Source organism: Homo sapiens, chromosome 7 (genome assembly GCF_000001405.40).
Source record: "Homo sapiens chromosome 7, GRCh38.p14 Primary Assembly".
Taxonomy (NCBI): domain Eukaryota; kingdom Metazoa; phylum Chordata; class Mammalia; order Primates; family Hominidae; genus Homo; species Homo sapiens.
In genome coordinates, this window is record NC_000007.14 from 143,055,316 (window position 1) to 143,069,569 (window position 14,254).

The 14,254-nt window shown below is 44.3% G+C and overlaps 1 pseudogene across 1 annotated transcript; it reads right to left on the reverse strand.

Annotated features, from left to right (window-relative positions):
• Positions 1–6,968: 6,968 nt before the first annotated feature.
• Positions 6,969–8,470, reverse strand: OR6W1P (olfactory receptor family 6 subfamily W member 1 pseudogene; annotated as a pseudogene). Its single transcript, NR_002140.1, has one exon. The product of NR_002140.1 is annotated as an olfactory receptor family 6 subfamily W member 1 pseudogene (transcript).
• Between the last annotated feature and the right edge of the window lie 5,784 nt (positions 8,471–14,254).

Sequence of the window (14,254 nt, forward strand, 5' to 3'; positions counted from 1 at the left end):
GGCTGTTAAAGATGAAAGAAATGAGGAGTCTGACCTCAAGGGGTTCCATGTACTGAGAGAAATTTAAAAGTGTGGTTAATTTCAATAAGGTGTTTTCCTATAGAGTATGAGAGCTCGGAAGGAAAATTTCTGATTCTGAAACTGCAGCAAGCGGTGTTCCCGACCCGCTTTAGCGGGTAAGGGAAACATGGCTGAGAGGAAGAATGAGTTGGTCAAAGAAATTGCAGAACCGACAGCAGGATCTGGTTCTTCAAACCTTTTTTTCCATCTCCCCATCTTTGGAATTTTCTTCTTCCATCTGAATTAAAAGTTGGGTTAATTCAAAGTTGGAACCTCCAGGATCTGAAGCTGCTCAGTTTTGCCTCCTCTAGACCCTTACTGAGCACATATCTATCAAGATTCTACAAGTTTGTAGATTTGTAATGGCAACAATTCTAGTAACCCCTTCCTCACAGTAATTGCACATTTAGTATCCATCACTTGAAAGAAACACATATTGGCAGAAAGCAAGTATAGATTCAATGTTACTTTTAAAGATTTGTGTTTCAATATCAAAGGCATAGAAGCAACCTAGATGCCCATCAATGGTGGACTGGATAAAGAAAATGTGGTACATATACACTATGGAATACTATGCAGCCATAAAAAAGAGTGAGGGCATGTCCTTTGCAGCAACTCAGATGGAGCTGGAAGCCATTTTCCTAAGCAAATTAAGACAGAAACAAAAAACCAAATACCACATCTTCTCTTATAAATGGGAGCTAAATATTGAGTATACATGGACACAAAGAAGGGTATAATAGACACTGGAACCTACTTTAGGATGGAGGGAGGGAGGAGGGTGAGGATTGAAAAACTATCAGGTATTATGCTGATTACTTGGGTGACAAAGCTATCTGTACACCAAACCTCAGCAACATGCAATTTACCCAGGTAACAAACTTGCACATGTACCCCTTGAACCCAGAATAAAAGTTGGAAAGAAGGAAAAAAAGATTTGTATTTTATTTATCACCACTGTTTCCACAAACATTTGAAATAGAGCAAATAATACCTACACATGTAAGATATTTTTATTTTGAATAAATATTTTGATTCTGTTCATATACAATGTTAATTATACAGTGGATTCACAGTCCCTTTGCTATGACATCATTTTCCCTGGGAGGTGAGAACAGTTGATGTGGTTGTTTGTCTATGTAAGGTTGTTGGATGTAGATGCACAGATGGCAACAGCCTTTCCACTTCATAGAAGTGGCTTACACTGGAACCTAATTTCAGGGTGGTAGGAGGGCAAGGTTGCTTTCAATACCCAGAACTAATTTAAGTGTGGGCGAAATCATGACAGGATTTCGTGAAACTAAAATGTTTTCCCTGGCCCCAAATATCCTCCCACACACCCTTCATTTGTCTGGCATCCTAGTTCTAAATGGCTAACCCAAGAATCCATTCTCACACATGTATATCCCAGTGGGAAGCCAAAAAAATGGATTTATTTCTTCCAGTTGGGAGGATTAGAGAGCAAGAAATTGAAGGTATGAAAGTTTTTGAAGAAGGAAGACAAAGGCATATAATCACTTTTCAAAGGAAAGTCAGGCCTGGGTCTTGCGGTGGTTGGTAGCAACATCAAGACCCTGCACAGATGGGATTTTAGGAGTGGTGAGGTGTAAAACCCTCTGGGTCAAACTAAGAAAATGTCAGTGTTGCCTACAGTGGACTAGATTCATATCAATCTAATTCACTAATTCTTTCAGCACTAGGTTTTCTGATGTACATATGTTTTTTCAACAATGCCTGACGGGTACTGAGGAATGGTGGTCGTGGCTCAGTGGTCTGATAGTAAATGTTTAGCCACCTCTCTCCATTTGCTGACTTCTAGCATTTGCCAACTTCCTGGTGTCAATATTTTCACCATGTCCAGTTTTAAGCTACCGAGATGACATCTGAAGTTGGAGTTACGGAAAGATGCCCCACCATGCAGCCCCATATAGTATTTCCACCACACTGAGACAGGTGGCCTAAATAACCTCAATCTCATGGACAAAAGTAAAATATAGCAAAGTAATTAGGAGTTTTGAATATGAATCACCTTTGTTTTTAGCATAACTTATTTGATTTTGAGTTTCTGTTATCTAATTTTTTTTATCATGCCTGTATTTAATTCCTGCCAATTTAACGGTCGATTTCCAGACATTTCCATACGTCCTCTGAAATCTAGGCAGAGGTTCCCAAAGCTCAACTCTTGTCTTCTGCCACATCACGTGGAAGCTGCCAATGCTTGGGGTTTGCACCCTCTGAAGCAATGAACTGAGCTGTACCTTCTTTCCTTTTAGCCATGACTGGAGCTGGAGTGGCTGGGATGCAGGGCACCAAGTCCTGACGCTGTGCAGAGCAGCAGGGCCCTGGGCCTGGCCCATTAACTATTTTTCCCTCCTAGGCCTCTGGGCTGTGATGAAAGAGGCTGCTGTGAAGGTCTCTGACGTGTTCTGTAAACATTTTCCCTATTGCCTTGGCTACTAACATTTGGGTCCTCATCTCCATCTGAGACCACCTCAGCCTGGACTTCATTGTCCATATCACTATCAGCATTTTGGTCAAAATCATTCAACAAGTCTCTAGGAACTTCCAAACTTTCCCATACCTTCCCATCTTCTTCTGAGCCCTCCAAACTGTTCCAGCCTCTGCCAGTTAGCCAGTTCCAAAGTCCCTTCCACATTCTCAGGAGTCTTGTAGCAATGCCCCAGTATGGGTTCTCCAGGAGGCTCCAGAACATCACTAGCATCCTACCTCTGGGTTTCCCTTAGATCCTGCTCCCCAGTCAATGCTGCATTGCTGTCATTCTCCTTCCCTTGAGTTAGACACCTGCCAAGTCCTATGGAGGTAAAGCTCATGGAATTGCCCTTATAAGGGAACTTATGAATTATTTTATCTGATAGACACAGGATCCTCCATATATGAGGGGACTTGGCTTCTTCACTAGCAGCTGGGCAGCTCACCACTCACACTTGTGTTTCTGCCACTTCCCTCACTCAGTGGACAATTCACCCAGAAGTTCTTGGGTTACCCAGCCCTGGGGGTGAGTCCAAAGGACTGTATATGAGGCCCTTGTCCTTGTCATGGAGGAAGTTGGCTGTGATCTAAGGAGAGGGGACATCACAGATTTCCTTCCCTCTCCTCCACAGACACAGAAGGCAGATCCCCCATTCTCTGCCTCATCCCCATGCCTCCCTTTTGTTGGAGGACCCGACCAAACCAGCCTTAAAGGGGTATAACATGTGACTAATTCAGCTGCTGGCAGAGAGGGAAATCAAGCATTTCAGAAAAGCTAAGCTCTCTGAACTTACTTAGGTTTTTGCAAAATTAAAGGCAATACAGTTTCAGTGCTGAAGATAAATAGCACCTTTGGTGACTACAATATGATTGCCCTAGGCAAGCAGAGATTTCTACACTGATGTACACACTGAAGTTTGTTGTTATCAAATATGCCCTGTTATTTCAGTGAGTACAGCATCTTGCAGAGGACACTTACGGGTCCCCTGGGGGGCTTGGGTCTGATTAGTGATGATACCCATGGCCAGTCTCCAGAAATCCACTCATTAATCTCGTCTCTTTAGGCTTTGGTTGTCTACACAATATACCATTTTATGCCTATGTTATTTTACACACTCAGTTGCCTCTCTCAGGAATTCACTTTTCCTCTTCTCAGCCTATAAAACTGTTCTTTGGACCTCAAAAAGTCATTTCAGCTTAACTTTCAACTTAATCAAAAGAAATGGGGCATTCCCCAAGAGCTTTGCCTTCAGGAACTCAGAGGAAGTCACACTGAGGTTTGATATAAGGATTTCTTCTTAAGATTTGAACCATGCAGTGAAGAAAGGGGCTTCCTCCCACAGCTGGGAATGGTCCATCTCTGGACTTGGTTCAATGTAGTTTTGTCTATGTGTGGATTCTGAGCTCCTTATGTTAGGTGTCGTGCCTTATAGATCTTTGTTTTTCCTGTACCTAGAATATAGTAGGTGTTCAATAAATGCTAGCTGTCATTAATCATGAGGTTTATGTGAATTTGGAACATGAGTTAGCACGATAACCTAAACATGGAATGCCATCTTAGTTGATGGTAAGAAATGCAGTCAACAGAGCAAGAGGAAAGGTTTCCCACTGCACTACATCTCAGTTAGTTGTCCACACTAGTACGTCAGTCAGTTCCAAGATGCACCTAACAGGAACCAAACAAAGCAATGCAGAAGGCAAGAGTTCTAGAAACGGTTTGATGCAACCTCCTATTTGTAAACCTGAATATTTTGGAGGGGAATGCATAGATATCTTTGCTTACCTGCTAGTCTGCCTGCATAACTGAAAAAGGCAGAACTGGGACAATGGGTGAAGGTTAGAGGACGTCACATTGAGGTTTGACATAAGGATTTCTTCTTAAAATTTAGAACCATGCAGTGAAGAAAGGGGCTGCCTCCCACCGCTGGGCATGCTCCATCCCTGGACTTGGTTCAAGCAGAGTCCCTAAGCCAGTCTGATCAGTGTGTTGCAGTGGGGATGCCTGCACTGAGACAGAGGGAGGCAGGCCTGCATGACCTACAAACTCCCTTGCAGTTCCATGAAGCTGTGGTTTACTTACATCATGTCTTAAACCTGAGGAGCCTTTTATAACAGCTACTTTGATTTGGAACTGGAATCCCAAGATTCCTCCCAGCAAGTTGCAAGATTTTTAAAAAATTATTTTTTCGTTTCTATCTATCCAGGAGTCTCATTTGCCATTGTGCACATTGACATCCCTGCCACATTAAGACAAATGTCTGGAACCAATATATCTAGACATCTCTAGGTGACATCCACATAGAATTCTAACAGTGAGTCAGAGGCTGGGCCATTGATTGAAGTCACTCAAGAAGCTTAAAGTCAGACTAGGATGAGAGTCTTCAGGGTCTTCATCCTGGTTACTACTGTCTCCGGAAATGGGACCTGGGATAAAGGTCACTAAGGAATGATGGATCCAACAATAGCAAATGTGTCCCCAAATTCCCTCTTCCAATGCCCTTCACGTTGTTGAGATTGGAACAAGGCCTTTCTTATACAATTTATTGTTTGAAAACTCTACCAGCAAATTGTCTAGCTCAGCGTTACTCAGATATTAACGTGCATAGGAATCACCCGGGGATCTGCAAAAATGCAGATTCTGATTTAGGAGGTCTCAGGTGGGGCCTGAGATTCTGCATCTCCAATAAGCTCCCAGGAGATGCCAGTGCTGTTTCAAGCATCACACTTTGAAGAGCAAAGAACCACAGGCAAGGCTGTGGGGCAGGTCAGGCTGCATGATGCTGGATTCCATGGGGTGATTGCTATGAAGGCCCAAAGCTAGTCAGACCGTCCCCAAAACTGACCAGAGACCCCACTTCCAAGGAAATCCTATGAAAAACAGGAGATAGCCCGCTATAGGCTATTGATTATTTTTAGTTTTTTAAGAGGGGGAATGTGCAGAGAAGAGCGAGTAGCAGGAAGGAGTCCCTGGGGAGGACACTGAGTGACTCCTGTGCTGATTATTTTAGGAGGAGAAGCTGAGGAAAAGTATCTGCATCTCAGAAGGAGATAATTACTTTCCACTTAGCTCTTCAGTTTTTCAGGAAGTTTGCAAGGAGGGCAAGTAATTAGTCTCTTGGGAGGTGAAAGAGACAAGTTCTCAGGATGAAAAACTTTTCCCTGCTGGTCTTTACAGCAGAATCAGAAGTATCTGCCCACTTTTGGCAAGGCCCACAAATGCAAAAATGTACTGTGGGGGTTGAAAAAGAAAAAGAGCTATGTTAGAGATCAAGCTAAATGGCAGAGACAGTAAGACAGTGGTGCCTCCAAGCTCTGTGTCCTGGAAGGCTTCCCCTGAAACCATTCTTCATAGTCTTGGCCCTGTGGGGTGGCTCCCACACTGTGACACCACACTGCAAGTTATGAGCAGGGCCTCTCCTCTAGGGATCCTGTGGACAGAACCAGCTTCAGAAATGAGAGGAAGTTTGCATCTACTCTTTGCCCCGCTTTGCTAATCCTAGCCCAGCCCAGCTGAGACTCAGTCTAGTAAAAGAAACCAGACCCGGATCTCTTCCTGCCCCTACCATCTTCCCATGACTTCTCACGCCATCCAGATTTCCGAGGAATGCCTCTCTTATCAGCCCTCCCACCACGTTACCTACAACACCAGTCCCACTCCGTTTACTCCTTCTCATCTGATTTCTACCACCTTTGCTTCTACCATCCAGGGGCCCTGGTAATCTGGCCAGGCTGCTCTCAGGAAACCCAGCCTCAGAAGGCCTGGGCAACTGGTCCTTCTTCTGGAACTTGGATCTAAGATTCTGCAGTAGAAGGGAAGTAGTGGCCCCACGGGAAGGGGAAGGCAGCAAGTCTGAGAGTGCAGACGCAGCTCAGCTTTCCCCCACTCTCAAGTGCATGAAAAAGGTAAGGTCTTCATGACTTTCTATAAGAGGGTTGGAGGAGTGGCTCCCAGAGAGCCATTTCTGTGGAAAGGCAAGAGGCTTTGGGGCCAGATGGAAGAAGTGGGCAGCCTGGGTGTGAGGGGTGCTTCCATCCAGGAGCGGTCAGGCCGAGAGAGGGGAGCCAACAGAAGCACATGGCTCCTCCTGTGTTGGGGTGCCAGGCCTCTCTGCTCTTCTTAGAGCACCTCCCATTTTCAGAACTCTATCATAGACCTTGAAGCCAGGTCCTGAAAAGGAAACACATCCAAAATAAAGGAAACTTAAAAGAATGCAAGCAAAACCACAGAGCTAAGAAAGAAAGGTTTTAATAGGACATTTTAATAATAGCTACATTTACTGAGCTCTTACTTAATGTGCCAGACCCTGCACTAAGAGCCTTATTTGTTTGGATTATCTCTTTTAATTAAGACCGTCCCATTGTACTCACTCTGCATTCCCTATCCATTCCTTAACTATCCCAGGTGCACAGAAACTTGCCTTTGAGACATTCTACCAATGTGTGTCCATTAGTTCTCTGCAGTGCAGGAGAAGAAACTTGCATGAAGATGAGGGACCAGGAGAAAATGAGAAAAAAGAGAGTGAGGAGCTCCAGCTTAGGCATGTGGGTGCCCACCTGCAGCAAGTCTACTCCTCGTGACTTGTCAGGTGCTCTCTAGCCCTGTCAAGGGCTCACCCTCTCACCTACAGGCTGCTGGGTCTCCAAGGAAGATCCTTTTAGTCACATCCTCAATGACCTCCTTGACCTTCTCATTCCGGAAGGTGAAGATGAAGGGGTTGAGGAAAGGGGTTACCATTGCAGTCACCATGGCCACCGCCTTGTTGAGGTATGTGGAGTGGCCCTTGCCTGGCCTCACGTAGATGAAGATGGCACTGCCATAGCCCAGAACCACCACTGTGAGGTGAGAGGCACAGGTGGAGAAGGCCTTCTGGCATCCAGAGGAGGAAGGGATGTGCAGCACTGCAGCCACAATGAGGATGTAGGAGAGGATGATAAGCAGCATGGTGGTCAGCACAAAGAGCAGGGACAGGAAGAGGTCCATGCGCTCAATGTGGCGGGTGTCAGAGCAGGCAAGCTTGAGCAGCGGGGCAGAGTCACAGAAGTAGTGGCCGATGATGTTAGGGCCACAGAACCAGAGTCGTGTTTTCTGCAGTGTGGGAGAGACAATGGAGAGGAAACCAACCACCCAACAGGCCACCACCAGCTTCACACACACTGGACCATTCGTGATGGTTGGGTAGCGCAGGGGGTGGCAGATGGCCACGTAGCGATCAAAGGCCATGACCATGAGTATCAGGAAGTTGGCAGAGCCCAGGGAGAAGTAAAAGAAAGACTGGGTTAGGCATTTGGCCAGGGACATGGTCTTGTGAGTGGATAGCAGGTCTGCCAGCATCCTATGTACCACAGTGGAGGTGACCACCATCTCCATGAGGGAGAAGTTGCAGAGGAAGAAGTACATGGGTGAGTGAAGGCGGGAATCAAGGCAAATGAAGCTGATGATGGCCAGGTTGCCCAGCAGCATCAGCACATATATCAACAGGATCAGAGCAAACAGCAGAACCTGGAACTCATGGAGATAAGAAAATCCAAGGAGCTCCTCTGCCTAGGAAAACCAGAGACCTTTGTTCACTTGTTTATCTGCTGACCTTCCCTCCACTATTGTCCTATGACCCTGCCAAATCCCCCTCCACGAGAAACACCCAAGAATGATCAATTAAAAAAAAAAAAAAAAAAGAAAATCCCAGGAGCACAAACTCCCTGACAATGCTGTAGTTACCCATTGCACTTGATGCCCATTCTATGTGACACCTGTGAGAGGTTGAGAACTGTTAGCAGGAGATTGCCATCAACCTCTCTCTCAATCAGGTCCCCATAGTGCTGGCCTGGCTCCCCATGCACACTAGCCTGTGTGCACAGTTGACCCCAGGAGACACATTCCCAAAAGGCAGGAGTTTCCCTGGGGCGAGGAATGGATTACTGGCTGGGATGAGCAGATTTATGACTTGGCCACCTCTACATTATCACCATTCTTAAGCTCTTCCTCTTCTGTCTTCTACTCATTGATTATATTGTACAACACACTTAATAAGCTCCAACTCTGTGCAAGACATTTGGCTGGGTCTGAGGATGAAGGGGTAAACACTTCCTAACTGCCAAATGTAATGGTCTGTTGTTCAAATAATAGCTGATATTTACTGTTCTTTCCCTGTGCCAGAAGATGCGCTAGATACCTTACACATTATTTCCTTCCATCTTTTTTGCTGAATCTTCATCCTCTTTTCTTCTCTATAACATTTTCTTCTCTATAACATTTCAGGCTACAAATAACCCGTTTTTGAAGTGACTTCCACCCTTGACTGCAAGGACCCTGCACTCTTGAATTTCTCCTACCATCCTGGGTTCCCTCGTCTGTCTCCTTCTCTAGCTCCCTGTCTTTCTGCCATTTTCTAAACATGGATGACCCCACATTTCTTTTCTTATCTTTGTTTAAAAAAATTCTCTATTTTCTCCTTCAGAAATCTCACCTTCTTTAACCAAAGCAATCTTTAAAATGTAAATGAATTTCAAATCTGGATTTTGTCCTCCTCTGAGTCCCGGCCCACATCTCTAACCACCAGATTGACCACCACCACACATTCAACACATCTAAAGATACACACCTAGTCCTCCCCTCCCGCAAAGGCCATGTTTATGGCTCCCAATTCCCCAGTCATCTGGGCTGGAAACTGGAAGCATCTAGCCCTCCTTTGTTTATCCATATCCACCACCCTAGTTCAAGGATCTGTTTCCTCTTAACCATTGCAACAACACTCTTAATTTTTTTTTTATTGGTAGATTGCTCAATCACCAACCTATCCAGGCACCATGCTGCTATTATATTTTATTTTCTTAAGTTATTGTGTCAATCAACTGTTTTTAATAATCTGTAACAAGGCCGGGCATGGTGGCTCACGCCTGTAATCCCAGCACTTTGGGAGGCTGAGGGCGGGTGGATCATCTGAGGTCGGGAGTTCGAGACCATCGTGGCCAACATGGAGAAACCCCATCTCTACTAAAAATACAAAATTAGCCGAGTGTGGTGGTGTGTGCCTGTAATCCCAGCTACCCAGGAGGCTGAGGCAGAAGAATCGCTTGAATCTAGGAGGTGGAGGTTGCAGTGAGCTGAGATCATGCCATTGCACTCCAGCCTGGGCAACAAGAGCAACACTCTATCTCAAAAATAAATAAATAAATAAAAATAACCTGTAACAATGAGATTTCATTTATAATTACTTTCAAAATCAATCAAACTAGCTAGCCATCTATCTTCATCCAGAAAAAGAGTAAAAGGATGCATTTTAAAATATTAACAATGGCTATATCTGGGTGTGGGTTATAGGAGTTTACTTTTAAAAATCTTGTATTGAAATTATACATATTTAAACTGTTGTATTAGTCTGTTCTCACGCTGCTATAAGGACACACCCAAGACTGGGTAATTTATAAAGAAAAGAGGTTTAATTGACTGACAGTTTGGCATGGCTGGGGAGGCTTCAGGAAACCTATGATCATGGCCGAAGGGGGAGCAAACACGTCCTTCTTCACATGGCAGCAGCAAGGAGAAGTGCAGAGCACAGGAGTGAAAAAGCCCCTTATAAAACTATCAGATCTCGTGAGAACTTACTCTCTATCACGAGAACAGCATGGAGGTAACCACCCCCATGAGTCAATTACCTCCCACTGGGTCCCTCCCACAACATGTGGGGATTATGGGAACTACAATTCAAGATGAGATTTGCGTGGGGACACAGCCAAACCATATGAAATGTATATCATGAGGTTTGGATAGAAATATACATAGTAAACTTATTACGACAGTCAAGCTAATTAATATATCCATCTCTTCATATAGTTACCATTTTTCACATGTAGTGAGATGACCTAAGATCTACCCTCTTAGCAAATGTCAAGTATACAATACAGTATCATTACCTGTAATCCCCATGCTGAACATTAGTTCGCTAGAACTTATTCTTCCTGCCCAACTGAAACCTTGTACCCTCTGTTCTTCTATATGTCCACATTCATTTCCAAATTCTCTTCATTTAAATTTGAATTCTCTTCATATATTATTTTAGTGATAAAAAAATTAACAACAATAATCTCTTCCTTTTTCAGTCAAATCAAGCACAGATTCTCCCTGGCAACTCCTGCCCTACATGACTCTCCCCATTCACCACCCCCCATAGCTTCACCCCCACCTCCTTGTCACACACTTTGTGATACCACTGAACTGAACCCTTGATATTCTCCATAAGTTAATTCCACTTTGCCTTCACACACTTCCCTTTTTATTCCTGTGCTTAGAATACTTTGTTCTGCCATCTTTGCCTGGCAAATTCTTAATCACCCACCAGGGACTATCTCAAATGTCCCCTCCTTTATGAAGCTTCATCCTCATCCAGATGTGAAGTCATCCTGCCTGGAGTTCCCAATCAGGAAAGTTAACAAGATCTGCCTTGCATTATAATTGTGTACAGTCAGATTCCAAATCCTGGATTCCTAGTTTCTCAGTGTCAGGGCTCTTTTTTCATCTTTATAACCTTCAGAATACCAAGCAACATGTCTTACACAGTGTAACTACTCATTACATTTTGGTTAAACAGGCCAGGTGCAATGTCTCACACCTGTAATCCCAGCACTTTGGGAGGCAGATGTGGGAGGACTGCCTGAGGCCAGGAGTTCGAGACCCAGACTGGGCAACATAGAGAGACCCTATCACTACAAAAAATAAAAAAGTTAGCCTGGTGTGGTGCCGAATGCCTGTAGTCTGAGCTACTTGGGAGGCTGAAGTGGGAGGATCACTTGGGCCCAGGAGGTGGAGGCTGCAGTAAACTGTGATTACAACACTGCACTACAGCCTGGGCCACAGAGGAAGATGCTCTCTCAAAATAATAACAATTTTGGTTAAACCAATGAGCACACATGTTGGGTTTTCATTTCTAGTCCTGAGAAGGAAAGTTTTGCCAAATGGAAACTCACATTTTCTTTAATGATGATGTGTATGTGTAATGTGGACTTTAACAAAATGTAATGGGGCAATCACGACCCCACAATTTCTTATCAGAAAGCTAAAATGAGACCAATACCAGCAAGGCAGCATCCTGGAATCAAGCACACTATTATTTCTGTAGCAAAGTACACAAATATTCACACTCAATGAAATAAAGGCAGAAATGGCCTCATGTTTAGTTCAAAACAAGTTAAGCCGTCTAAGTGCTTTGACTCAACATTTAAGAAAGAACTTTCAGCATTCAAAGCATTTTGATTATAGAATTGTGGATAAAGGGTTGGGAATGGCTAGACCCCATCCACTGAGGGCCCACCATGCACTGGCTCCCGTGCCACAATGATGCTGTGAAATCGTTACCAACTTCATATCATAGATGATAAAAACTGAGGCTTGGAACGTTTAAGGATCTTAATCCTTATGGTCAATAAATGTTGAGTTAGGTCAATAAATGTTGAGTTAGGATTTGAATCTAGAGTTTTCTAACTCCAATATCTATTTGTTTGTAGTAATCAAAACTTCAAGTATGTGAAATCTGCAGTGTTGAATCAAGCACAGTGCCATATCAATCTCTGAACACAGGACTCAAAGCTTATTGCTTATATCTATGAATAAAAATGCTTATATCTACAAAAAAACTATTTAATGCATGGCAAATGAATGAATGCATTAAAGTCCCACTATCAGCTATGGACTATCAGTGATAGGTAGGAGATGGGGAGGGTGTCCCTTTCCCAGCAGAAAGATCTAACTTGAGTCTCAAATGCTATTGCAAGACTGGTTAGCGGTGCTCCAAACAGGGTCAGTCCTCAGCCCTCCATCTCTTATTGGGAATCCATGACAATCCAGAAATCCAGGAAGCTGCTGTTCCTCCAATTACCACTTCCCAGACTGTGACCTCACCCTTTTCAGCCCCCATATTGATGTCCTTCATATTCTTCAGGTGTCATAAATTCCTAAGCCAGAATGAGAAATTCAACCCATGGGCCTATTTTGTGTTTCATTTGCCACCTGCCACTCAGAAAGCAACATCTTTCTACCAGGTTTCAGAGACATCATGTTTTGAGGCTCTCCAATCTAAAACATCTCAAGTCTTGGAATCAGAGGTCAAATGGGGATTCTAAGATAAACTTTGAGTCAGGAGTACCCCAGTTCATGCGGCAGGCTTAGCTTCATACCACATCGCTGGCATCCTTTTCAAACTGGCCTCCACCACAGCCCCCATTTTTGTGCCCTTGCCCTTCACCCCTCATCCCAAACCCTCTTGCATTTATCTTCCCAACCTCTGTCCAGACACTTAAACTTTTAACACTTAGTTTGTTTTTTCCCTGTTCAAGATCTCACCTCTCCTCTCAGGTTTGATGACTGATGCTCCTTTCTTCATACAAAATTCATGCCAGTCACTTCTTCATGAGGCTTCAAGACTCTGAGTCACAATACGCCCCCCGACCCCTTCCAATTCAGCAAGCCTGCAACTCAGGGCAAGTCCCTGGAGTATGTCTTAGGACTTTTCGTGCTTGTTCAATAATTTTACATTCCAAGTTTTTATTTTAGAAAACTGATTGTTAGTTACAAGTGAAGTTAACATAAGCAAAGTGTAACTTGAATGTCGAATAGACTTTTTTCTGCATCAGAGTCTTTGATAGAATATGTTTCCCTCAGTGCAGCCTCTCTTTGCTATAGAACAGATCTCTCTCAGGCCCAGGAGTCCTGCATTCCTGAGATTCAGGCAAACTCAACTTGTCCAACCAGTAGACCATCCAGTGCTCAATCAAAACAGGCCAAGCACAGCCTGTTGACAGTGGCCTAGTCAAGGCTGTGTTTAGCTATTTAGCATATGCTTTGGACAGCATCCCACGTTAACTGTACTTGCAGCCTGGACTCCCCAGAGTGCCCTCAGCTCCCCTCACTCATTCCTGTTAAGGATCCTTGCTGAGAAGAGATCCTGTTTATCTTTCTAAGTCCTTCATGCTGCAGGTTTTGCAGTTCACAGCTCTGTTAAAATGCCAACTAGCGGAGAGCTTCCACATCCCCATATAATATAATAATCCTCCAGAGACTTGGAGGATTTGAATGTTCTCTCCTGATGGTGTATCTTTCTCCCTCTCCATATTAACTCTCTCAATCCTCCTAACTGAATTATCCTTGTGCATTTTGACTCTTGAAACAATGTTTCTGCTCCAGAAAAATGACTGTTTTTCACCCACCGGGAATGCAGAGGGGGTAGCAGTACTGTCACCCTGGTTCTTTGTGGCAGTAATTTCCATCATCAGTGTCCTGGGGGCATGCTGAGCTCTTTACTGAGGGAAAGAGCAGGGTGAGGAATGAGAAAGAGGAGAGAGCAAGGAAAGTACCTGAACACCCCTCACTTTTGGCAGGTCTTTGCAAGGGGCAGGTGGCCAGGGGAGGACATAGAGGTGAACAGCACCCTGGGGCTAGCAGGCCAGCTAACAGCAAGAATTAAAAGCAATGAATGATGCAAAAGCACCATGCACTAAGCAGAGAAAGGTCTAGGGAGGCTCAAATAGAAAAAGAGACACCGCAGGACTAGACCTAGGCTGAGCTTTCCCAGCCCCAGCCTCAGGAAGGGACAAAAGAAGTGGGTGGGACAGAGATCCTTGGCTTCTTCCCCAGGGGGAGGACAAAATGGGACCAATGCAGAGGATGCAGTCCTGTCATGATGAAATGTAATGCTGCACCTGATGTCAGCAGTAG